The sequence below is a fragment of the Homo sapiens genome, chromosome 9 (genome assembly GCF_000001405.40).
Source record: "Homo sapiens chromosome 9, GRCh38.p14 Primary Assembly".
Lineage (NCBI taxonomy): Eukaryota > Metazoa > Chordata > Mammalia > Primates > Hominidae > Homo > Homo sapiens.
The window spans coordinates 105448792-105476599 of NC_000009.12; the positions used below are offsets into that span (position 1 = coordinate 105448792).

The window sequence follows — 27808 nt, forward strand, 5'->3', positions numbered from 1 at the left end:
GAGGGAAAAGACTTCAATTGTTAGGGCAGCCTTCCCACTCTCTGACCAGTTGGTGTTGCTGGGCACAGTTACTTAGGGGTCGTTGTGGAATGTTTTATACTTTCCGAACAGTTGAGGAAAGGTTATATAATCGTAAAGGTTCAATTCAGAAGTATTTGGAGAACAAAGCCAATGTCTTGAATACAGTTAGAAGTGAATTATTCAGTCATAATCTCCATATGAAAATAACCACCCTGTTCTCTTTGTTAGACTATAACGTAATTGAAATATAGTACAGGGTAGGAAAGAAAAAACAAGGAGTATTAATAATGTAGCAGGGAAAACAAAGACATATCTAAGAGACTATTCTTTTCTATTATTAGAAAGCACGGGAAAGACTTAGAACAACGTTTTCTACAATTTTGTCTACATTCACCTTCTTGAGGATCACTTCACTGAGGGCATGAGAGAATAATGATGTGTTGAGCATTGACTATTACAGTATTTAACAAATATGCATATGATTTCATTGTATGTGTTGGTCTTGAAACTCACCTTGGAATGCATGACTATTCTTAAGGCATTTTTTAAAAATTAGATTTTGTGTATTTTGAGTATGTATAGGTTTAAAATATTGTCTCTGCCTAAATTTGTAAAACATCTCTCAGCTTATTAGATAAAAGAAATGATATTTGAATGGACATTAGCAGAGGTCAAGTGAAGGAGCAAAGTCCGGAGACATGGGTTCCAGGATGCTATTTACTAGCTCTGTGATAAGGAGCAAGTCACTTAACTGTGATTAATCTGTTTCCTCATCTATGCAGTAGAAGTAAGAGTATTTTATAGTGTCATAGTAAAAATCTGATAAAATAGTTTGTTCTGAAAACACAGCATTTTAAAGTTTACAAAGTATGACCACTAAAATACTGTGTCCCATAAAATACAAAAAAATGTGTTTTAATATTGATCATCATACTTTATCAGGGATGCATTATTCCTTACTTTAATGAGTTGTGACTCCTGGAAGGTCATGCTACTAGCCCTAAGGCTAAGATTTGAACCTATTTGTTCTCATTTCGAATGATGTGTTAGGGTACCTACAGGTTACCACGTGCAGTTTCCTGAGAGGTAGCAAAGAATTAGCTTCTCTTTCTTAGTAGTAGTAGTAATGTATCTTATTTGTGATATCTTTGAGAATCAACTTCTCAATATTAGAAAATATGTTGAATTTCATTGGTGGTACCAAATCTTTCTAATGAAAAAACAAACACCCTTTGGTTTATAGCTGTAAAAAGAATGTCCGGGATTAATGTGTATAACCAGTTCAGTGCTCTGAACCTGAGCTTCCTTTTCTCGTATGAATTCCTGCAGAATCACAAGCCTCAAATAGTAATGATCTAAGCTGGATATTGTTCTCTTTAAATAAGACAGTAGTACACCCCAGACATGATTTTTAGATACTATTTTCTGTTATGGAATGTACATTGAAAATAGTAGTAGGGGTAGTACCTCAGTCAGTAGAGTATAAGAAAAATAGGTACTGCAAAGTGTGAGGAAGGCCTGAATATATACCTGAATGTTTGTTAGGCATTGGGATTTGGGCTTTACATTAGTAAGAGGATGGCTCTGGAGCCAAGTCTCCAGTTCTACTATTTATAAGCTGTATGAGCTGGGATAGTTTGCTCTGTCTCCATTTCTTCATCTGTAAAACAGAGATAACAATAATTGTAATTCTCTCACAAGATTATTGTGAGGATTGTGTTCTTTTTTTTTTTTTTTTGAGACGGAGTTTTGCTCTTGTCGCCCAGGCTGGAGTGCAACGGTGCAATCTTGGCTTACTGCAACCTCCGCCTCCTGGGTTGAAGAGATTCTCCTGCCTCAGCCTCCTGAGTAGCTGGGATTACAGGCGCCTGCCACCACCCCTGGCTAATTTTTGTATTTTTAGTAGAGACGGGGTTTTACCATGATGGCCAGCTGGTCTCAAACTCCTGACCTCACTCAGGTGATCCGCCAGCCTTGGCCTCACAAAGCGCTGCGATTACAGGCTTGAGCCACTGTGCCCGGTCTTGCATTCATTTTTAAAACCCACTAAACAGTGCCTAGCATACAAAAATACTGTTAGCTACTGTTATTAATTTAATAATCCTAACTTCAAAGTAACTTTCTCCTTTTAAAATTAAGTGTAGACATTTTTCCTTTTTTTTGAGACGAAGTCTCGCTCTGTGGCCCAGGCTGGAGTAGTGCAGTGGCGCGATCTTGGCTCACTGCAAGCTCCACCTCCCAGGTTCACGCCATTCTCCTGCCTCAGCCTCCCGAGTAGCTGGGACTACAGGCTCCCGCCACCACGCCTGGCTAATTTTTTGTATTTTTAGTAGAGACGGGGTTTCATCATGTTAGCCAGGATGGTCTCTATCTTCTGACCCCGTGATCCGCCCGCCTCGGCCTCCCAAAGTGCTGGGATTACAGGCGTGGGCCACCGCGCCCGGCCCGACATTTTTACTTTTAAAGCATCTTTTCTGCTATTATATCTGTAAGAAACGATTCACATGGTGGTTCCAGAGAAGAGTTGTTACATTCTAATAGAAAGAGGTTTGGAAGTTCTGAGTCATGCAGTCTGACAGTAGAGGTTAACTTAACTAGGCAGTCTTACAGAAGCTTCATGGTGGCTAGTCAACAAATGGATTAGCTTGACCAGCTGCTTTTTTGTTTGTGAAAATAACTTGGACTTCAGTGTTAATGTTAGCAGCAGATGCTCTGTTTGAGTAGAGGAAGAAAACGTAATAACCCCGGGTATGTAGGCATACTGTTGGATACAGAAAACCACAGTATTAACTCCTGGAAATAAACAGAGGGATTTTGTTTATATCGAGTTTCTGGGACGCTTTCGTGAACAGGATGTGTTATGGATAGGTGGCTTTTGTTTGATACTCAAACCTTTTGATTATGCCTTTAAACGGCTTTAAGATAAAATCCCAAAGGTTTCTTTACCGGATGAAATGTGCACGTTCAAAGAAAACGTTGAAACAAATAAGACATTTGTACCTTTTTAGAATCTTGGAGCTTGGAATTTTATAGTTTAACTTTTTGTACAGATTATTCACATACATAGGGATCACTCTTTCTAAGAAAGGTACTTACTGTAGGAATAAGAAAGGGTGGAGAGGAAGGGAGATGAGAGCTCAGAGGAAGGAAGTCACCAAGAGCATATATTGTCACTTGTTTGCTTTTCCCCATTATTTTTCCTGCATATTCTTCCTACTTGGAAAGGGGTAGTGAGTGACAGGTGAGGCTTGACTGGACAAAACTAGATTGGGGAGATTGAACTGAGCAGGAGTTTTAAACATGACAACCTGCAACAAGTAGCAGATCTACACTTGGCTTCCTTATCCCAGTTTCCTGCTCCAAGCTATGTGCTATTCTTTGCCTTCATATTGTACCTTACTAGTTCTGAGAACCCCACCACATCCATAACCAACCAACTGTTCCATGTTCCAAAATTACGCCTCAGTTAAAAAAAATTGTTTCCTGAGGAAAGAGGAATGAAATTTGATTACTGTTCTGCATCCAGTATTGTGTCGGACTGTCACAACAGTTCTTATTCCTGTTGCACTGTTAGGGAAAATGAAGCCCAGAGAGGTTAAGTGTCTTGTTCACAGTCACACAGCTAGCAAATAGTAGTCTGGATTCAAGTCAAGTTTTTCTTTACAACCCATAGTTTTTTCATTACCACGCTTCTTGCCTGAATTCTTTGCATTTCAATGGTGGTATGATTAAAGTAATTGAAACTTAAAATGTAACAGGGATAAGCCCCTATAAAGCAGGGTTCCCTCCCTCCCTCCCTCCTGTGGGCGCTCGCTCGCCTGCCTGCCTGCCTGCCTGCCTGCCTGCCTGCCTGCCTGCCTTCCTTCCTTCCTTCCTTCCTTCCTTCCTTCCTTCCTTCCTTCCTTCTTTCCTTCTTTCCTCCTCTCCTCTCCTCTCTTTTTCTTTTCTTTTTTCTTTCTCAGAGTCTTGCTGTCTTGCTCAGGCTGATGGCTCACCATGGCAACCTCTGCTTTCTGTGCTCAAGCTATCCTCCCAGCTCAGCCTCCTGAGCAGCTGGGACTACAGGTGCATGCCACCATATACTTGGCTAATTTTTGTGTTTTTTGTAGAGACAGGGTTTTGCCATGTTGTCCAGGCTAGCCTTGAACTCTTGGGCTCAAACGATTGACCCGCCTTGGCCTCCTAAAGTGCTGGGATTATAGGTATGAGCCATCACGTCTGACCTAAAGTTGTTTTTTTTTTTTTTTTTTTTTTGTTAAGCTAGTTAAGTGTAGTGAAAATAGTTGATAGATGATAAAGAACATGATTTAGGTAAAAACCTGGAATTTGGTCTCTCTTGTTGCCCCAAATAAAAATCACTATTTTAATTTTAATTTTAATTTTTTTTGAGACAGAGTCTTGCTCTGCCACCCAGGCTAGAGTGCAGCGGTATGATCTTGGCTCACTGCAACCTCTGCTTCCTGGGTTGAAGAGATTCTTGTGTCTTCGCCTCCCTCGTAGCTGGGATTATAGGCGCCCGCCACCACACTCAGCTAATTTTTTAAATTTTTAGTGGAGATGGGGTTTTGCCATGTTGGCCAGGGTAGTCTTGAACTCCTGCCTGACCTCAGATGATCCTCCCAAAGTGCTGAGATTACAGGCAGGAGACACTGCGCCTGGCCTAAAATTACTATTTTTATTTTGTGTGTGTGTGTGTGTGCGTGTGTGTGCATGTCTGTCTGCATGTATCTTTCCCCTTTTTTCAACTCTTTTGAGGGAATGTCTTAGCTTTCTATAGTAGAACTGTGAGCAAGAAAGTAGAAATGAATACCATATTGACATACTTATGACCACTATATATAATACAGATACATTCATTTTTCAATTGAACTTGGCAGTTTTTAAAAATTAGAAAGATAGTGAAGCAGACCTTTTTTTAAAAAAATTTTAACATAGTGCTTGTTTGCAATGCGTGGCTGAATGTAAGCAGGATTATTTATACAGTAAACACATATTGAATGTTTGCTGTAGTGCTAGATATTCTACTCTTAGGGTGGAAAATATTTTAAAGTTGGTGGATTTTATCTCCAGACTTTTAAAAATATGTTTTTCACTCTTTGTTGGCACTTCTTCCCAGCCACAAGGTTCTGATAGAATCTGGTTTCAGTTATTGATGCTTGTTGATTGCTGTTAATTGAATTTTGAACTAATTTATTAAAAAAGTATTAACGTAGCCAGCTTTTGCATTTCTATTGCATTATAAATATAGGTAATACAAGTTTATTGTAGGAAAATAAGAATATAAATAAAGTGAAAATAAAATAAAAACCACTCAATTCTGCCACCCAGAGATAACCTCTTCAACATTTATGTCACCATCTAGTTTTTTGGTATGCATATAAAAACTTTTCTAAAATTATGGTATCATGCTATATATGCTGCTCTATAATTTGCATTTCACATAATAAATTATGGATATTTTTCCATATTAATCATTCTACAATACTTTTAATGATTCAACAGAATTCTTTTGTATGCATGTTTTACAGTACCCTTTTGTTGTATCTTTTTGTTGATCCCAACCTTTTAATGTTATAAATATCACAGATAAGCATCCTTGTAGCCAAGTCTCTGCTTACACCCTTAATTATTCACTTACAATAAATTAGAAATGGAATTACTGAGTCAATGTATATCTATTTCAAAAATTTTATTTGATACATATTGTCAAGTTGCCCTTGAGAAGGGTTGTTAGTTTATACTAATACTCGCATCTCCACTCCAATGCCACCTTCTTTCATTAAATGGTAGGACCTCTGGTTTCTTTGGCCGACTATGAGCCTCCTTGACTTTACTGGGTAAAACAGCCAGTTCAAAGGCCACTGCACATGGTTAAGGCTTCTTTATCCTCTGGTGTGCTTTATTTTCCTCAAATCCTAGATGGGAGATTACCTCCTCATATGCTGTGATATCTTAAACTGGGTTCAGGGCAGAAAGGCAGCATTCCCCAGCCAGTTCTTTTACTAGCATTTAGACTTTTTCTCAGCTGGTAAGCTAGACAATCAGAATTGATTGTAGGCTGTCTCAGTTACATCTGTGTACAGGTAGTGTTCTCAACTGTTTCACTGTTAGAGAGGGTGTAGCCTTCCATCATTTAGGTATATTATGATTAGATTCCTGAATTTCCCAGTTCTCTTTTTTTCACCTTCTTGCATCACATCTGAGCATGATACTTTTGTTAAAATAACTGGTGAGATTCTGATTATCTAGCTAACAGCTGGATAGCGCTTTCTTGATTCCGCTCTTTATCACTGTATGGTAAACCTACCTAACAGCAGTAGTTTAAGCATACTATTAGAATGATCCTGTATGGCAGACTCACCTGAATGTGTCTTCTGAGCTTCACTGGGCTGTGTAGTTACCTTGTCCAGCCCACTGCCACTGGACCTTTTCTGTATATAAGGCAGTTCTCCTGCTCAGCCTGCCACCACTGGACTCTCTCCCTTGTATGTAATCCCTTAATAAAATACCATGCCTCATTTGGTGGCTCTGGGTTTCTTCAGCCTCTTGAACCTGGTGCCATCCCCACTGGAGTCGATGGAGGGGTTCAGCATGAAGTCACCTAATTCAAAGGACAGGTCTATGTGTGGGATGATGCAAGTGGCATCATTTCTGGTGGCATTATTGGGCATTTTCCAGGAATGTTACATGCTGATTTGATCAATCCCTTTCCTCTGGTTGCAGGAACCCTATGATTATTTCATACAATCCCCAACAGTTTAGGCAGCCTAGGGTACAGGCTCTGGAGGCAACCTCCTGGATTTGAAAAGCAGAGGTTCTGGGGACAACCTCCTGAATTTGAATCATGACTGCCAGTTGATAGCTGTGTGACCTAAAACAAGTTTCTTAACATCTTGAATCTTTCCTTTTTCCAACCATAAAATGTGAAGACTCATACTACTTTTTTATCAGATTTGATGATTAAAAAGTTACTCCATATTAGCAGCACAGTGCCTGGCACATAGAAGGTGCTTAATGAAATACTAACTAAATTGGCTATAATAATAGTTTGACCCCCTTAAATTATAGATCTATTTGTGGTATTTGCAGGGGCTCTAGATTTTTGTATCTTGATTTTTTGGAATACTACTGTAGAATTTGACTCAGAAGTCTTCTCCTCCTCTGAGAAGATGCTGGTGGGAAACCCATATGTCAGCATTTCTCTAATTATGACCACATGGATGCTGATGCCCTCTGATTTGGGGTTATAACCTGTTGATCAGTTCCAGGTTTCCAGATTGTTGATCAGTTCCAGATTTCTAATCTTGAAGTAAAATCTTAGTCCTTTGGATGCCTTTAGCCGTTCTGACCTTTTCATGAACCTCTGATCTCTGTTTTATTAGGTAGTACAGTGTAGTCCTTTAAGAGCATAGACTTAGGAATCAAACTGTCTTAATTTGAATCCTGGCTGTGTGACATATTAGCTTTGATATTCTAGGCAAGCTGCTTAACTTCTCCATGCGTCAGCTTCCTCATTGGAAAATGAGGATAATAATAGTAACTTACTTCATAGGATTCTTGAAAGGATTAAATGAATTAATAATATGTATAGAGCTTAAGATAGTACTTGGCACTTAAGAGTACCAAAGTGCTCTTTTGCTCAGTCTATTGATTATCCTTTTACTTGATTGATAATGATTATAAACATAACTTTAAGCTGTGCTGCGTTGAAGAGAGTAACTTATATCTTGTACATCTTAGATTACTTTGATTCATTCCATAACAGTGGTTGCAGTTGTGCTTGGCTAGGGTGTATATGATGCTTTTTCTTGTTGGTGTAGCAGTTGCCTTAGTCTAAATCCATAGTCACATCATTGTATTTTTTTGTTGTTGTTATGAGGGCCTGGTAATTGTGCTACATCACCAAAAGACATTTGCTGAGATTGCCTGTGCAGACTTCCTATGGAGACTTATCTCATATATTTTACTATGATCTAGCAGAATTGGCATTTGTCAAAACATGTCTTCAGACCTGTGTCACCTAGAACTTTTAGTTGTCACCACATGAATCTTATAAAATATAATTTTCTAGATAAGCTTCAGATAATTTATATTGCCTTTATTCATCTCTGTTTATCTATTTATCCATCAGTGTTTGTAAGGTAACGGGAGGCTTGAGATCTGATATAAAAATCTGAGACCTTCGTAGGCATCCTTTAAGGTTGATAGAATCCCATGGGGCAGATGAAAGTTGTCTTTGCCCTTCTTTACCCATAAGGCTTTGATTAGAAAAAAAAATGAAATGACTATATGTAACATGGGCTCATTCTATAAGTACATTTTTGGAATTTGTTTTATCAGTACATTGTGTATATGTTTTAGGACAGAGGTTATAGGTAGAGAAACTGATAAGTGAGAGGGCTCCTAGGTAGAAAGCAAGTCAGATTAGATAAATTCATAGCAGGCTATGCAGCTGGAGTGTAACAAGGGAGAGGAAGTCTGGGGAGATGAAGCAGGTGAGGTAGGCAGTGGACAGATCATTTGAGATCTTATAGGTCATGTTAAAGATTTTCAGTTTTATCCAAGGTACAATGGGAAGCTATTGAAGAATACTGATCAGGAAGAGTGATGCTATCATTACCCTAGCTGAAGTATATAGAGAACTGATTACTGGGGAGAAAGATTGTTACCAGAGTCTGATTAAGAAAAATTTTGCTACAGTGAAGGTTGAGATATAGGTTGAGATATGATAGTAACTTTTACTAAGATAGTAGTAATAATTCTAATGTCACAGGATACTTTGGATGTTTCTTAACCAGCTAGAAACCTCTGTAGCTGGCAGTGTCTCTCCTTGAGTTTCACTCATGCCGGCTGGGCTTGTTCTGCCCACTTGGCCTGGCAGGCTGTGCTTAGCTCATGCTGCTGGCCTGGATCCCACACCTGCCGAGGGCGAGCCAGGCATGGAGCAGTGAGGGGTGTGTGAGCGAGCGAGTGAGTTTGGGGTCCGGCCACTGTGCACAGCCTAGCATGCTGGCTGCTGTGGCCATACGGGCAGCTCCGGGCACTGGCACAGTCACTGGCTCCATGCGAGGCTGCAGCTGGACCAAGCATACTGCAAGTGGCTTCCTCTGTGGGTGCCTGCGTCTGGATGAAGTGAACACAGTGGTGCCTGAAAACTCAGAGATGCCAGTAACTGCAGAGCCCCAAGGGGTCGGGGGCAGGGGTGCTACACCTCTCTTGTTCCTGCCACCTGCAGCTTGGCCAGTGGGAGTGGCAGGGCATGTTTCAGCCTGTTCAGTCCTGCCACCTTGCTTGGGCCCGTGGCTCCCAGGCTGGCCCAATCCCGTTGTCACTTGCTGTCATGTGGGGCAGCCGCCTGATGCTGGTGGAAGTTGGGAGGGCTATAGTGTTACAGCTCTGGCTCAGGGAATCCCGAGGTCTAGGCCCTTAGAAGTGTTGCTACTCTTCACTCCTGCAGTTCATGTCACTGTCTGCAGCTTGGTGAGCTGGCCAGGAACATGTTACAGCCCCTTTTGCTCCTGTCTGCAGCTTGGCAAGTGGGCCAGGAAAGTGTTACAGCCCTTTCTGCGCCTGCCTTTTGGCGGTTCCTGAGTTCTTGTCCTGCGTCCAGGAAGAATGAGGTTGCATGGACAACTGGATGGTGAGCAAGGCAGTGGAGAGTTTTACTGAGTGACAGAACAGCTCTCAGTGGAGAGGAGTCCTGAAATGGGTAGTCCTGATAGATGGCTGAGTCCAGGGTTTTTATGGGCTCAAAGTGGGGAAGTGCATGCTGATTGGTCCATGGGCAGGAGGAAGTATGTGCTGATTGGTCCATGGGTGGGCGTGGAAAAAGCACCATTTGTTTGACTGAAAGGCATAAAGGAAATTCTTATTCAGGGTTGTGGATTCCATCAGGAACTGGCAGCCCAGTTTTCAGGCTTCAGACTGTCTTTGGCCTGAAGGTCAGGTTTCACCAGGGACCCACCCCTATCTGCCTAGGACTACGTCTGCCTCCTGCTGCTATCACTAGAACCATTAAGGGGTAAAATCTATAGAACTTTGTGACTTCACGTAGAGCACAAATTAGAGGAGAGGAGATAGTGATGATGGCCTAGCTTTCTGTCTTCGCTCTTGATTAAATTTGGAGGTCCTGGAGGGATAGACTGGGGTAGAAAACTCGTTGAATTATGATATATTTTAGATCTTTTCTGCTCTCTTTCTCTGCCCTGGCATATTGCCTACCATATCTAGAAAACACTTTTTAAAAACTGCTGGATTTGATGCCTGTTCAGCCAGTCTCCCCTTGTATACCTCCTAGATTAGGCACATACTATCCTTATATACACCTTTTACTTGACTCCTACCACCATAGAGAAAATTTTAGCTTTATGTCACATATGCAAGCTAGGGTCAAGTTTCAGAACTCAGCACATGTAATCCTGTTTCTTTAGTTTTCATATGTTTTGGTGCTGTGGTGGTAGTTTTGTCTTAAATATTCTGATTCCTTGTAACTTGTTTTCCAGTTCTACTGAGCACCAAGTTCCTTAGTGCTTTTTATCTTTATGCCATTTCCACTTAGTTCCAGCCAGTCCCCATTCTTGTGAGGGTCAGAAAGGTTGAAGCCTTGGCCCTCTCCCTGATAAACTTACTATTTTAGAATGCTAAATATGAGCCTTGGATTACAGTCTTTTTCATTTGCTCATCCTCTCTACAGCAGTTGCAGATTAAAGGGCAAGTGGATCAGAGCTTCTGGAGCCTTTGTCTCAGTAGTCTGCCCTTGGGGAACTTTGCGAATATTTCCTTCCTCCTTTAAGCTTAGAAAAGCTTAGCAGAGAGGCAGCATTTTATCTGTATTAGCTAACAAGGTCACATTGGTTGCTATGACTTTCTCTTTATGATCTGAATGGTTGCTTTTTCTGCAGCCAGGTTTACTAATGTATTCGGTAGCTTTGAAAATATAGATGATCTTAAATGCTGGGGTTCCAGAGTCCTCTACAGCTGGCTTGTCCATTCTGATAGCATCTCAGTGGTGTATTGTAGCCAAGGCTCTGAAGCCCTCCTCATCTAAAGATTGCAGTGCGTCCTCTGAAAATAATCTAGGCCTTTAGTCTTTGCAGTTTTGGCATTAGGGTAAAGCAACTTTTCTCAGAATGTGGACCCTTTATCTAGGTGTGTATTACAGACTCTCATGCTGTACTGGAACTCCTTGTTAAATTCAAGAGCTGTAGAGTGCTCTCTCTTCAAAGAATGAGACTGTGTTTCTCAGAAATACTATATCAGCCTTTAAAGACCTTTCTTTCTCATCCACTTTCTGGGGAAGTACAGTATTTTTACAGCCTTAGGCAATTCATATAGGATATCATTCCCCTAAAGGCTTTAACACAGATTGTAGAGTTTCTTTCCAGAAGTATGGCTATTAATACATCTTAGGCCAATACAGTTGAAAAGGGTCTTTCATCTGTGGTAATAGAATTTTGAATGAATTTAAGAGGAATGGTAAAGATAAGATTAACTGTAATCGCTGGGAGTGGTGGCTCATCCCTGTAATCCTTGCACTTGGGAAGCCGAAGTGGGTGAATCACAAGGTCAGGAGTTCGAGACCAGCCTGGCCAGCATGGTGAAACCCCATCTCTACCAAAAAATACAAAAAATTAGCCAGGCACGGTAGCTTGCACCTGTAATCCCAGCTACTCGAGAGGCTGAGGCAGGAGAATTGCTTGAACCCAGGAGGCAGAGGTTGCAGTGAGCCGAGATTGCACCACTGCACTCTAGCCTGGGTGACAGAGTGAGACTCCATCTCAAAAAAAAAAAAAAAAAAAGATTGACTGTAATCTAAGGGTGGTATTTTTTTGGAGGTATGCGATAGTATCATAGAAAATGGAAGGCATTATTCTGATGATTCTTTGAATTTGTCTAACCTGTATGTCAGTTGTCCTTAGGTGCAGTCTTGTTTTTGTTAGCTGCCAACTTTGACGTGGACATTTGCACTTTCTGTGATCCCAAGAAGTCTTCTCTAACCCAAAACATGAGTGAACGGTGTAAATTTCACAGGAGAGAGGAGTGTATTTGTTTCTTCTGTTATGGTATTGGACCCCGAAGTGGTGTTACTTATGTACCAATTTCTTTTGAGAGTTGGTAATTTTAAAATGTCTTTCACCTTCTAGAGTTAATATTTATGTAAATAAAAACTGAGAAATGAGTGAAATTCTGGTAAAGGAAGTTGGTTGTAACATTTTAACTTATATCCACATATAGCTATTATAATTCAAGAATCTGGCATAACATAAGCACATAAAGAAATTCTGGTCTTCCAAGAAAAAAGTTCAGAAAGCTTTTAGGTCGTTTATTTTTAATTGCAAATTAATAAGATTAATAGAGGATCTCTGCCCTATTTCCACTCTTAGAAATATATGGTCTGTTTGGATGACATAGACCTCTTAAGTCTGTATTATCCAGGATGGTAGCTTCTAGCCGTAATGTGGTTTTTGAGCACTTGAAATGTGGCCAGTTTGAATTGAGATATGCATAAGTGTAAAATACAAACTGAATTTTGAACACTCCGTACCAAAAAAAAAGAAAAACTCATTAATTGTTAAATATTGACTACATGTTGAAATGATAATATATTTTGAATCTATTAAATAAAATATTAAAATTAATTTATCCTGTTTTTCCTTTACTTTTTTGATGTGGCTGCTATTGGCTCCTACTGTATTTATATTGGACAGTACTGCTTTAAGGAGAATGAAAACGTTACAGTTGATAAAGCCTGTTTTCTGATCTCTAACATCACTATTGGACCAGAGTCTATTAACTTGCAGCAGGTTGGTAGCTCTTAAAGGAGCAGAGGTTTTAACTTGAAGATCTGATTCAAAATTAGAGCATTTAGATGTCTTTGACTATACTCATTAAAAAACAGGAACATTAAAAAGGTAGGCTTTAGCTGGGAGCAGGGATCATGCCTGTAATCCCAACACTTTGGGAAGCTGAGGTGGGAGGATTGCTGGAGCCCAGAAGTTCGAGACCAGCCTGGGCAACATAGTGAGACCTCGTCTCTACAAAAAATCAAATAATGAGGCAGGTGGATATGGCTTGAGCCCAAGAGGTTGAGGCTGCAGTGAGCTACGATTGTGTCACTGCACTCCCACCTGTGTGACAGAGCCTCAAAAAAAAAAAAAAGGCTTCTCATTAAAATCTTGGGAGCTCAGGTCTTATCTAGTTGGGGCAATAAGTTACAGCTATCTCCAGATTTTTGCTATGTAATTTCTGAAATGCAAAGCTTGCTACTAAACTTAGACCAAAAAAATATGTAAATGGGAAGCTATTTTATGCTAAGGAGATTTTATTTTTTGCTCTGAACTGTATCTGCCTTTTTTTTGGTACCAATGTTTTATAATTTTTTTTGGTGGAAAGTTTTTTTAAGTTTTGTTTTTTTTTTTTTTGAGATGGAATCTTGCTCTGTCACCCAGGCTGGAATGTAGTGGTGTGATCTCGGCTCACTGCAACCTCCACCTCCCGGGTTCAAGCAATTTTCTTGACTCAGCCTCCCGAATAGCTGAGCTGGGATTACAGGCGCCCATCACCACGCCTGCCTAATTTTTGTCTTTTTAGTAGAGACAGGGTTTCGCCATGTTGGCCAGGCTGGTTTCAAACTTCTGACCTCTGGTGATCCACCCGCCTCAGCATCCCAAAGTGCTGGGATTACAGGCATGAGCCACTGTGACTGACATTTTTTTTTTTTTTTTTTTTTGAGACAGAATCTTGCTCTGTTGCCCAGGCTGGAGTGCAGTGGTGAGATCTCGGCTCACTGCAGCCTCCACCTCCCAGTTCAAGTGATTCTCCTGCCTCAGCCTCCTGAGTAGCTGGGATTACAGGTGCATGCTACCACGCCTGGCTAATTTTTGTATTTTTAGTAGAGACGGGGTTTCACCATGTTGGCCAGGCTGGTCTCAAACTCCTGACCTCAAGTGATCCACCTGCCTGGGCCTCCCATAGCGCACATGTGTGGTGGCACATGCTTTTTTCACTACTACAATACTTTATATGAACATTTGTATAAAATGTTGCCAGGTATGGTAGCTTACACCTGCAGTCCCAGCACTTTGGGAGGTTGAGGCAGGTGGATCTCCTGAGGTCAAGAGTTTGAGACCAGCCTGGCCAACATGGTGAAGCCCCGTCTCTACTAAAAATGCAAAAATTAGCTGGGCGTGGTGGCGGACACCTGTAATTCCAGCTACTCGGGAGGCTGAGGCAGGAGAATTGCTTGAACCCGGGAGGTGGAGGTTGCAGTGAGCCGAGATCACGCCATTGCACTCCAACCTGGGAGACAACAGCCAAAAACTCTGTCTCGAGAAAAAAAACTTAAAAAAAAAATGTTATCTCCCTTCAGACTGTTTCCTGGGCTCCTTATCTATAACCCTTTGTCGATATCTGATTATATTTTTTAGGAAAACCTTTATTCCACAAAGTCTTATAGGCTTTATTAAAATATTTAAGCTCATAGGTGCTTACAGAAAAAAGTCCTATGCTTCTGAGAAAATTACAAAGTATTAAAGTACTTGCATTTGATTTTTTTCTGAGACTATAAATAACCTTGTTTGGTTTTTGCTGTTGCTACCAATGAGGAGTTACTGCAACTAGACTTGTGCTGTCCAATATGATAGCATTGGTTACATTTGACTATATAAACTTAATTAAAGTTGGAAAAATTAAATTTAGTTCCTCAGTTCTAGTCACATTTCAAGACTTCTTTAACTGTGTGTGGCTAGTGGCTACCATATTGGGCAGCACATTTATAGAACATTTCCATCACAGTGGAAAATTTTATTGGATAGCACCGAACCAGAGAGAAAATTAACCAAATGTTTTATTTAAATAGGAAGCATTATCAAAGTCTGAGCTATCTGCTACTAAAATTGCTTTATTTATTATAGTTCTACAGCATCTGTAAATATTGGAATGAATGTTGTCATTCTAAATGCACATGTATTATCTAGTTTCATATCTCTAAAATAGGTTTATTTTTGTAAATAAATAAAATGTTGATGAATTTGTGTCTCCTCACTTTTATTCCTCGGTTCCTGATGTTGTATTCCGTTTCCATTTGTTTTTACAGCATTTAAAGATTTTGCTCTATTCCATTGTCATGGCTGATGACCTAAAATAATTCTATTGATATTAAGTTAAACTGATCATTTTCAATCTGAAAAGTATCATGGTGATTAAGTTGCATATTAGGAATAAGAGGGCTTAATACAGTACAAATATATACCCCATCTTTTCTAATTATAAGCCTTTGGAAGTTTTGAAGAATGAGAAATTTTACATTGCTCCTATTTGTTATACAATATACTCTTACATAAAGTTTGTTTAGAGAATGCTTGTTAATGAGTTTTGTAACTCTTCCATTGAAATATAGTATTTTAATGCTTTTCTTAATTCTAGGAAGCTCTACAGAGGATCATTTCAACTCTGGCAAATAAAAATGATGAAATTCAGAACTTTATTGATACACTACATCATACACTAAAAGGAGTTCAGGTATGATTGTTTTATGAAAAATTTTGTGTAAATATGTCACAATGAGCCAAATCTGAAGTACAAATATACTCTATGAATTTTGGGTTATAAACTAATGGAGGTGAGAGCAGAGCTTTAAAATAGCAGATAAAGTAAAAATGTTTTCATTGCAATTCCTGTTTTGTCCATGGAAAAATCCAAATAGTAAGGGAAAAGGAAAACTCTGGAATAGTAGTTGTTAGAAAATACCAGAGTGCTCACTTTAGTCCTTTTCCATTTGACATTTTTTCTAATATAAATTAAGAGCAATTTGTAGTTTTTCAAAAGTGCTGGCAAGTAAAACGTTTCTTTTACAATAAACAATAGAAGAAAAATTTTGGCTACGTGTGATGGCTCATGCCTGTAATCCCAGCATTTTGGGAGGCTGATGCAGGTTGATGGGTTGAGCCCAGGAGTTTGAAACCAGCTTGGGCAACATGGCAAGACACCGTCTCTACCAAAAAAAAAAAAGATACAAAAATTAGCTGGGTGTGGTGGCATACACATGTCATCCCAGCTACCCAGGAGGCTGAGGTAGGAGGATCGTCTGAGCCCAGGACGTCGAGGCTGCAGTGAGCATTGATTGTACCACTGCACTCCAGCCTGGGTAATAGAACGAGACTGCATCTCAAAAAGAAAAGAAAATGTTATTGGTAAGGGGTCTACTTGTAGAAGTAGATGAAAGTAACATAAAAATAAAAGGTAAAGTGCCCATTGAGAAGGGAGAGGAATACTTAAGAAAATAGTTCCAGGTTTGGGGAGATAATCTATATTGTAAGTAGTGACATATTGATTGTGGAAGAGAGAACTCAAGATAATCTGGTTGCTAGAAATGTACAATCTACCAAGACTGAATCAGAAAGAAATAGAAAATCTGAATAGGTCAATAATGAATAAGGAAATTGAATCCACAGTGAAGTCTCCCATCAAAGAAAAGCCTGCAACCTGATGGTTTTACCACTGAAATCTAGCAAATATTTAAAGAACTAATATCAGTTATTCTCAGCCTCTTCCAAAAAAATCAAACAGGAGGGAGTAGTTCCAAATCCATTTTTACAAATTCAACATTATCCCAATAATAAAGCCAAACCAGGGATACTACAAAAGAGAGAAATACAGGCCAGTATTCCTAATCAACATAGATGCAAAAATCCTCAATAAAATACTAGCAAACTGAATTCAGTAGCACATTAAAAAGATCATTTACCATGATCCAGTAGGATTTATGCCTGGGATGCAAGGATGGTTCAACAGAAGTCAATAAATGTGATACACCATATTAACAAAACTAAAGACAAAAAAAAGTGTATGGTTATCTTAGTAGATGCAGAAAAAGAATTTGACAGAATTCAACATCCTTTCATGATAAAGACTCTCAACAAATTAGGTGTAGAAGGAATGTACCACAACACAGTAAAGGCCATATGTATAATAACAATCTCACAGCTACCATCTTATCAAAGGTGAGAAGTCAAAAGCTTTTTCTGTAAAGTCAGGAACAAGACAAAGATGTTTACTCTCACCACTTTTTTTTTTTTTTGAGACAAAGACTTGTTCTGTCACCCAGGATGGAGTGCAATGCCGCAGTCTCAGCTCACTGAAACTCCTGCTTTCCAGGTTCAAGCGATTCTCCTGCCTCAGTCTTTAGAAGACTCTAAAGACTCTACCAAAAAACTGTTAGAACTGATAAATTCAGTAAAGTTACAGAATGCAATATCAACACACAAAAATCAGTATTGCTTCTATACATGAAAAACGAACTATTTCAAAGAGAAAATAAGAAAACAATCCCATTTGCTGTAGCATAAAAAAATAGGAATAAATTTACCTAAGGAAATGAAAGATCTGTATACTGAAAGCTATAAAACACTGATGAAAGAAATTTAAGAAGACAAATGAATGGAAAAATATCCCATGTTTGTGGATTAGAATTAACATTGTTAAAATATTTGTACTACCCAAAGTAATCTACAGATTCATTGTAATCTCTATCCAAATACCAATGTCATTTTCCACAGAAATAGAAAAAATTCTAAAATGTATATAGAACTACAAAAGAACCAGAATAACCAAAATTATCTTTAGCAAAAACAACATTCATGGGAGGCCGAGTCAGGTGGATCACCTGAAGTCAGGAGTTCAAGACCAGCCTGGCCAACATTGTGAAACCCCATCTCTACTAAAAATACAAGAATTAGCTGGTCGTGGTGGCAAGCGCCTGTAATCCCAGCTAGTTGGGAGGCTGAGGCAGGAGAATCGCTTGAACCCAGGAGGTGGAGGTTGCAGTGAGCCGAGATCGCACTACTGCACTCCAGCCTGGGTGATAGAGTGAGACTCTGTCTCAAAAAAAAAAAAAAATAATTATTTTAGCTATCTTGAACTATTTTATTGGAAAATTGGTGAATCAGCTTTCTTTAGATAAGCATAAAACTCATGGCTATAAAGCTCTTGATCTGTGGACAAGCGAATCATCACATTTGGTATCTGGAAAGAGAGATCTTATGTAGAGCTAGCTCAAACCATTCTTCTGATTGATAAATTATTAGAATTCTACCTTAACGTTAGAAAAAAAAAGTAGTGGGGGAATTAAACTACAACCTCGTTGCTGAAGATGGGAGCTTAGTAGTAGGCAAAAGGCAACAAGATGCCATCTGGTGATTGAGAGGAAAATAGTCTGTTTCTTTTTTATGAATGAATAGACTGAGGTCTAGGAATTTAAGTGCCTTGTATAAGGTCATGCTGTTACTGAGTGGCTAATGTGGGATTTGAGTTAGGTTTTTTCCCTTCCTGACTGCACATTCCACTTCTATAGTTGTTCTTACTACTGTAAATAGACTAGTAAAATAATTACCACCACCTTTGATGAGGTGCCTGTGAGGTATCTAGTTTTTATAAACATTATAAGCAAAAGTTTGGACATATAATATTACAGTAGATTGTATATATTAGTTCTCTTAGTCAGTGCCAGTTCGCTTCTCTTAATTGAATGATTCATCCAAGTTGAAAAATGTCTTAAGAGAATTTCTTCTATCTCATAATTGTTGCAAGTGTGGATATTGCTTATCTAGGGATTTTACAAATAATTCAAGTTATTTTTTGTTGAAATAGCAGCAAATATAGCAATGGGGAACTCAAGAGACTTGAAATGCATTATTGACCATGTTACTAGTAACTAATTGTATGGCTTTGGGCAAGTAACTTATCTGTATTTTAGTTAATAAAATACAGGATTTGACTACAAATTCTAGTCATTAGATGATTTAATATTTGATAAATATCTTAGGATCCAATAAATAATTGCTTAGTCTTTTAATTTCTGTTTATCTTACACAAATGCAGTGTTTTAGAGACCCTGAAAGATTTTAAAATTTAGACAAAATCCGCCTCATTTCTGTATGTGCAAAGTGTTCCTCGGAATTACTGAATTAAAATCTCTGGAATATTTTATAAGAATACCTCACCAGTGATTCTGATACGCACCAGAGGTTAAGAACCACTGGCTTAGAGTCTGCCTGAGAGACTGAAGGTCTGGACGAAGTTGGGAACGTTAAAACAACCTTTCATGTTGTCCTGTGGAAACAGTAAAGTGAAGAGAGTATGGGCTAGTCCATAAAAGACAACTTAACTGATAGTATAGCTGAAACAGTATTGTTAGCATTAGCGGGCAGTTTGTTGCATTTATCTCTTTTTAAAGCCTTAAGTCAAATATTAGAATTATGTTATTTTTATATTAGGCCAACATAGTTTGTAATATAAATTTATTCTCTCTTTTGGGCATACCTTTTAGGTTTTAAATGTTTGATAGCGCTTCAGTAAAATTGTTTTGTTTTGTTTTTTAAACAGGAAAATTCGTCCAACATACTCTCAGAGTTAGATGAAGAATTTGATAGTTTATACTCTATACTGGATGAAGTAAAAGAAAGTATGATTAACTGTATCAAGCAGGAACAAGCTCGTAAATCCCAAGAGTTACAGGTGAGATCATACAGCTATTGAAATATGGATAATTTTAGTCTATTTAATCCTTGATTTATGATAAGCAAAAATTAATGAATTTCTAAGTATAACTATACCCTTACCTCGTAGAAGAATGGTTTTTTGTTTTGGCCATAAGTATTCTAAAATTGTTGTTAAAAAAACAATTTATTCTCTTAACCATTTTTTTTTTTTTTTGAGACGGAGTCTCACTCTGTCACCCAGGCTGGAGTGATCTTGGTTCATTGCAACCTCTGCCTCCCAGGTTCAGGCGATTCTCCTGCCTCAGCCTCCCAAGTAGCTGGGATTACAGGTGCCCACCACCATGCCTGGCTAATTTTTGTATTTTTAGTAGAGACGGGGTTTCACCATGTTGGCCAGGCTGGTCTCAAACTCCTGACCTCAGGTGATCCACCCGTCTTGGCCTCCCAAAGTGCTGGGATTACAGGCGTAAGGCACCATGCCCAGCCAATTCTCTTAAACCATTTTAAACTGTACAGTGTACAGTTGATGGTGTTAAATATATTCACATTTTTGTATAACAGATCTCTAGAATTTTTTCATCTTGTGCAAGTGAAACTTTATGTCCCTTGATCAACAACTTATTTCCCCTTCTTACTAGCCCCTGGCAATCATCATGTTATTTTCTGTTTCCATGACTACTCTACATGTCTCATATAAGTGGAATCATAGCATTTGTCCTTTTGTGACCTATTTCCACTCAGCATAATGTCCTCAAGATTTATTCATGTTATATAGCATGTGCTAGGATTTCCTCCTTTTTTGTGGTTGAATAATATTCCACTTATGTATATACCACATTTTCTTTATCCATTTATATGTCTACGGACATTTTGGCAGCTTACACCTCTTAGCTATTGTGAATAATGCTGCAATGAATGTGGGGGTTTAAATATCTCTTTGAGATTCTGTTTTCAATTGTTTTGGATATGTATACTTCAAAGTAGGATTGCTGAATCATGTGGTAATTCTCTTTATAATTTTCTGAGGACCCTCTATATAATGTTTTCCATAGTGGCTGCACTATTTTACATCCTACCAGCCGAAGTGTTCCAATTTCTTCATGTGCTTGCCGGTGCTTTTTATTTTCTGGTTTTTTTTTTGATAGTGGCCATCATAATGGGTATGACATGATATTTCATTACAGTTTTGATTTGCATTTCCCTAGTGACTGGTGATGTTGAGCATCTCTTCACGTGTTTGTTGGCCATCAATGTATTTTCTTTAGAGAAGTGTCTATTCAGGTTCTTTGGCCATCTTTTAATTGGGTTACTTGGGGTTTTTGGTGGTTGTTAAGTTGCAGCAGTTTTCTATTCATTCTGGATATTAACTCCTTATCAGGTGTATGATTCACAGGTTTTTTTTTTTTTTTCCCATTTTGTAGGCTACTTTTTTACTCTGTTGGTTGTTCTATTTGATATAGAGAAGTTTTAAAGTTTTACGTCATCTAATTTGTCTATTTTTGCTTTCATTGTCATATCCAGGAAATCATTGACAAATACAGTGTTATGAAGCTTTTCCTCTATGTTTTCTTCTAGGAGCTTTAGAGCTTATGTTTAGGTCTTTAATCCATTTTTAGTTAATTTTTGCGTATGGTGTTAAGTAAGGGACCTACTTTATTTTTTTGCTTGTGGATATTCGGTTTTCCTAGCACCATTTATTGAAGAGACTGTCCTGTCCCTATTGTTTGGCCTTAGTACCTATGTCAGAGATCATTCGATCATATATGTGAAGGGTAATTTCAGGACTGTCTGTTTTGTTCCATTGGTCTGTGTATCTGTCTTTATGCCAGTACCACATTGTTTGGGTTCCTATAGTTTTGTAAGGTATTTTGAAATCAGGAATGTTGAGGCATTCGACTTTTTTCTCTTTCAAAATTGTGCAATTCAGGGTCCCTTGAGATTCTACATGAATTTTATATATATTTTTTCTGTTCCTACAAAAAATGTCTTGGGATTTTGACAGTGATTACATTGAATTTATAGATTGCTTTGGGTAGTATGGATAGTTTAACAATATTAAGTGTTCCAATCTATGAACATGAATGTCTTTCCCTTTATTTTTGTTGTATATTTCTTTTAGCATTGTATTGTAGTTTTGGGTGTCTAGGTCTCATGCTTTGTTGGTTAAATTTATTTCAAAGTATGCTGTTCTTTTTGATACTATTATAAGTGGATTTTTTCTTTTTTTTCCTTCTTGGATTGTTCATTATTGGTATGTAGAAATGCAAATTTTTGTGTGTTGATTTGAGTTATAGATATCTTTGAGCACCTAAAAGCTGTGGAAAAACACATATGTTGTCTTTCTATCTTACATACACACCATAAAAGCACAATTTCCAAGGATCAGATACTGTATCTTCGAAGTGTGTCCATACTACCCAGGTTGAGGTTTGTTGTTCATATTTGGGGGTGGGGGATGTATTACTTAAATAATTCAAGGATAATTCGTTTATTCATAAAGTTTCCATACATTTCAATAAATACTAATAAGAAATGAATTCATTTAAAAAACAAAACACTGTAGAAGAAAGGACAACTCAGCATCACCTGAAGATCCAACTGAAAACTCATCCTGTGCAGAATTCTGTTCTGTTTTGGACCCAGACCCTTCTTCACAGCACCACTTTGGAATGGCCTTTAAGCATCCAGTTGCTTAATCTCCAACCTTCCCTTTTCCCTCCCTGTACTTTTTCTTTACCAGAGCAGCTCTAATTGTCTTCATCTACCACTAGCCAACATTTCTGTCACCCTAGCTCATACTGCATATTAAACCTGCCACCAAAGTGGCCATGGGTCATGTCTTTTCTCTTGCCTTTCCTTCTTCCCATCAAGTACCAAAAAGTCTTTTGCATATTGAGTGTGCATTATGCATCTTGATCAACCCCCTAGCCATCCCTGGCATGAGTGATGTTCCAGTGCAACTGGTAATATTTTCCCTTTTCAGTTACCTCTCAGTTCCTAGTGCCTCATTGATATCTGTTGTTTGTCGGGACCTTCTTTCTGCTTGAATATATGTGGACAGTTTGTTCTTCTGGCATTGTTAGAGGGGAGCTAGGAGCAGCCAATAGAAACATTTTTAAAACTTGCAGTTTGTTAGATAAAATTGAATTGCGAGCATTCATCTTTAGAGCAGGAACCTTGCCATTTAGGTTTAGAAAAATACTTCCTACTTGTCCCATATTCTTTATGTATCTTGAATTGCTAGTTTTTAATTAATGACAGTGGACTAAGCTTCGCTTAGGTCCCTTTTTGTTTTAAATGATGAGTGTATCTTTACCTGTATGCAGTGAAGCTGTTTTCGATAAATTATGGCAAGAGGTACAAAGTATTAAGATAATTAAAATTTGTTATATATATATAAAAAAAATAACACGTTTTATATATATATATATATATATAACTTGATTATCTTGCTACAATAGCTCACTGAAATGTTTTTCCTCTATTATTGCTATTAAAATTATTTGTAAGTTCATTATAACAATATATATTTAAGATTCTAATGGCAATAGGAAACTTCATTTTAATGACTTAGTTTTTTTTTTTTTTTCCCTAGAGTCAGATTAGTCAATGTAATAATGCCCTGGAGAACTCTGAAGAACTATTAGAATTTGCAACAAGGTCATTAGATATAAAGGAACCTGAAGAATTTTCAAAGGTACACAAAAACTGCATTAATACACTTAACAAGGGAAGTTGTATTTTTAAAAAGGCGTTTTTGTTTTTCTTTAGTTTTGGATTTCTTTACTGATTTCTAATACTAATAAAGCCTTGGGGTTTCTTGATAAGTAAAATGCTGGCTGTTCATTTATTCCAAAGCAAACACTTAGAAGTGTGTGTCTTTAGGGTCATCAACAAATATGTTTAAAAAGTGTTTCTGTGTTTCTGTCTATGAGCTGCTTGGGAAAGCATCATCACTTTATGCACATGAGCACTGTAATTGTGTAACTTCTTATTGCAGATAAATGCCCCCACTGCTTAATTTAAGTAACTGAATGTTTTATTACAACATGGAAATGTAGATCCTTACTTAAGGGATATGTTTAGTATAAAAATGTAAAAAGTAGAGCAAGAAGCCTGCTAATGTTTTAACTTAGATCCTGGTGTTTAAGTGATTGTAAATTGTAAATTGTAATTTTTTTTTTAAGTAGGGTCATTTTAAATGATTACCATTTTGTCAAATCAAAACTCAGAAATGTAGAATATATTTTAAAATGATGTGAAAAGATTTGGAAATTAAGCTATATAATTAGCAAAAATTACTGTGTAGTTATCAAGATAAAATTTGAGTTTGATGTTATTTACTTCACCTTTGTGGAGTATGTAGTGAGCTGCATTGTGTTAGAAAGGTAGCTTTATAACTGATTTATGCCTAGTGATTGTTTTCATTTTATGATTTTCTGTGAACTTGAAGGTAGAAAAAACTTCCTTGAGAAGGTAACATTTGCCACCTTACATCTTTGGATATTAAAATTGAACTTTAATTGATTTCTTCTTTTAAACACATGAATCAAAACAAAAGTTCTTTTGCTGTAAGCCAATGCATGAATTAATTCTTTAAATTTGGAGGTGAGTTGTAAAGAAGCTTACTAATGCACATAGGTGGACTTATTATATAAAGGAATTACAAGGGAAATGTACTATATTTAAAAGTACTTTAAAAGTATGATATGTTGGCCAGGTATGGTGGCTCATGCCTGTAATCCCAGCACTATGGGAAGCCAAGGTGGGTGGTTTGCTTGAGCCCAGGAGTTTGAGGCCAGCTTGGGCAACATGATGAGATCCTGCCTGTACAAAATACACAAAAAAATTAGCCGGGCATGGTGATGTGCACCTGTAGTCCCAGCTACTCGAAGGCTGAGATGGGAGGATTGCCTGAGCCTAGGAAGTTGAGGCTGCACCGAGCTGTGATTACACTGCTGCACTCTAGCCTGGGCAACAGAGCGAGACCCTATCTCAAACAAAACAAAACAAAAAAAGCACTATATCACTTATTTAGAGGGCATTCATGTGATAACCTTAAGTGTCTGGAACATAGCTAAGAAACATGCAGAAAGCAAAAGATGTCTTAGTCATCAAAATCAACATCATAGAGTTCATGGACAAGAGTTAATGTCCTCTATTCAAGATCATTTCTCAGAATCTGTTGACTGTTGTACTTGATACTGCTACTATTTTCAGTATTTTTCTTTCTGTTTTCTACTTGTTAACAAATTCCCCTTTTAGTGGAGTAGGGCAGTTGTTAATGACAGGCATAGTCATAGTAGCAAGAATTACCAACTGACAGCCTAAGAGTGAGGAAGAAGACAGGAAAACTATAGAATGTGGACACTAATACTCAAAAATGCCTTGAATCCAGTTGATTTAAGGAGAGACTGATACTTGGAAAAACTATGATAAAAGTTTATTTCTCCCACGTTTCTCTTTCTATTGACATTTTTAGAGTTCTTCTGTCTTCTTTCTCCCAAATGCTACCCTTTTCTGTTTCACTGTCCTTTATTCTTTCCAGCTTTGTTTCTGTTATAATTTGTTCCTGACAGATTATAAATTAGAAAGGTTCTGATAAAATAAGTCACATTGTGGTTTAATATGCCACTTCGCTTATTCTTACTATTTGGGTCTTGTCTTGCAGCAGTTTATAGTACTGTTTAGTAGCTTAAACCATTTGGAGATGTGGTGAAATGAATTACAACCATGTGTCGCTTAACGAGGATGTCTTCTAAGAAATGTATCATTAGGCAGTTTCATCATTGTGGGAACATTAGAGTGTAATGGCACAAACCTAGACAGTATAGCCTACTACATACCTCAGTTGTATTGTATAGTCTGTTGCTTCTATGCTGCAAACCTGTGTAGCATGTTACTGTACTGAATCCTGTAGGCAATTGCAATACAGTGGTATTTGTGTATCTCAACATAGAAAGGGTATAGTAAAAATACAGTATTATAATTTTATGGGAGCACCATTGTATATGCAGTCCATTATTGACTGAAACGTAGTTATGTGGCACATTACTGTATCTGTCAGTGTTTCCTAGCCAGAAATCTGGGTTTATCATTTAGGAAAAATGCTTAACTGAGAGCTGCTTGCAATTATTTTCTTCATATGTCCAAATAGTATCCAGATAATAATTTGATTTCAAGTAAAAAACTAAGTTCACTTTCCTAGCCAGCTACATGGACTACAGGCCTGCCTCAAACACCTACTTGCTGACTGAATAGGGAGAGATGACTTTGGAGATTATTACTAGTCTAGCAGTATATTGTTAGATGTCTGGAAAAAGAAATTCATTTAAGGTATACTATTTGTGAATATCCCACATTAAAGTGCTTAAATGAGATTAATATGAATGGCCCATGAGGACAAAAAAATAGCATAGGCTAAAAATTGAGGCAGTGTGTCTTTTCATACTTCATTATCTTCAAAAAGAATATTTCAAGTTCTAATATTTAAATTATCACATTGCAGTGTCTCAGCATGAGAACTGAATGTGAAGTTATGCTATTTACTGGCATTTTACTTTCTGAAAGTAAACAAATACAAATAGCACAAATGCAAAAAGATTTTAGAACATACCTTCACTAATTTTTTTTAACTGCTAGAAGTTTGGTTGGTAGTAAATTTATGCAGACGGATCACCAGCAAATGGGATCCAGATCATTAGCTTTATTCCTGGACTTAATAAATTGGCAACATCCCACCAAATGTGCATTCTCTGCTAATAGCTGGCCTGCAGAACACTGCTTGGATCCTTTACCAAAATTAGTATTTCTATTCCCACCCTGACTTTAGACCTTGACTTCTCTCTATAGAAAGAGCTGGGTCAGTGGAACAATTTCCAAGTCAGTGTAACTAAATTGCCATCACAATCATGCCACACATGCTCCGGTTGTCAGAGTAGAAGGGAGAAAATAGTTTCCTATCCATGGGGTCCCTATAATGGAATAAAAAGTACAGTTGGGTGAAAGGGGAACAGTGTCTTCTGCATTTGATCACAGCTGAAGAGGGAGAATGGGTTTAGTGTATTTCCCACATCTCACTTGTAATGAATGATTCGCCTGTAGAATATTGTCCATTGAGTGTTAGGCTCTGACCACTGGAAGGAGTGAATAAGAAGAGGAGTGGGTAGAAGCTCACTCAGTACTTTCATCAAGTAAGCAGAAATACTGCCAGAAGCTCCCTCTGTAGGCTGAAGTTAAGAATGTTAGGAGAGAGGAGAGGACCTTCAACAAAAGCGTGAATGTTTCAGTTTTGAGGACAATATAAAAAAACAGATCTAAATATTTGTTAAGCACAGGTCAAATTGTAGTTTTCACCTTAATTTCATTTCTTGGTGTTTATGTCTTACAGAAATGCAATCTCCTATTGTACAAATATGCCTAATCATAAAACAGTTGCGGACAGTACTGTATTTCAAAGTGTATTTCAAGTTATTCACTGGGGCTTTTGTGACAGATTCTTTCAAATGATCATGCTTTTTGAAAAATAGTTCCTTTTATGAACAGATAAATATATGTCTACCAAATACAAAACTTCTAATGTATGGAATCAACTGGTGTGCAATCTTTTTTTTTCCAAAGACATATTTTTGCCTAAAGGAAAATAAGGCTTTGAGGCTCTTTTTCCCTCTCCCTTTCTATAAAAAGAGAAATGATGATATTAAAAAAAGATAGAAACAATAAGATACTTTATCTTCAAAGTGCTTGATAAATTCACAGAAGAAAATAGTTTCTATATTCACCCATTACAGATTAAGAACAAAAGAGATTGGGAAAAGATCTGTTAACTTTTTTCTATGTGACTGGGAAAATATCTGGTTTAACGTCTTTAAATTTAATTGGCAGTTATGAAGATTGGTTTGCGATTACTTCTTCTTTACTCGTATTACAGTTTCTCTGCATTCATATCAGAGATGGTGCCTTCCTTTCTCCCTCTCTCTCTCTCTTCCCTCATTGCCTCCCTCCATCTCTTAGTTAATTGTTTTTAAACTAAATCTTACAATTCCATTTCTTTAATCAGTCATAGAAGTGTCACCTGAGACCAAACTTCCTTAAGTAGAATTGTAATGCTGAATTTTGTCAAACATCTGTTTAATTAGTACCAGCTGATTCCAAGATTTACCACTGCTCTGTTGCCAACACATTTATTTGAGCCTACATAATTCCATGTAGTGAGTTATGAAGAAGCTGCAATGAATGTTTAGATTTATTTTTAGGTTATGGTACTGTATATTATTGAAAAGCTTCCAAGA

General features: G+C 37.8%; 1 protein-coding gene across 16 annotated transcripts in view; it reads left to right on the top strand.

The window, feature by feature from the left end:
* Positions 1-27808, top strand: part of FSD1L (fibronectin type III and SPRY domain containing 1 like) — a 110257-nt gene that overhangs the window by 6615 nt on the left and 75834 nt on the right. For 8 of the 16 annotated variants that reach the window (XM_017015185.2, XM_011519079.3, XM_011519078.3 and 5 more), the window contains 4 exons: positions 12729-12824; positions 15445-15540; positions 19402-19533; positions 23113-23214. In XM_017015185.2, coding sequence (XP_016870674.1) covers positions 12729-12824; positions 15445-15540; positions 19402-19533; positions 23113-23214 — 426 coding nt within the window. Of the gene's footprint in view, positions 1-12728; positions 12825-15444; positions 15541-19401; positions 19534-23112; positions 24530-27808 lie in introns of those variants that run through there. The other 8 variants (NM_001330739.2, NM_001287191.2, XM_017015183.2 and 5 more) reach the window with 4 other exon arrangements.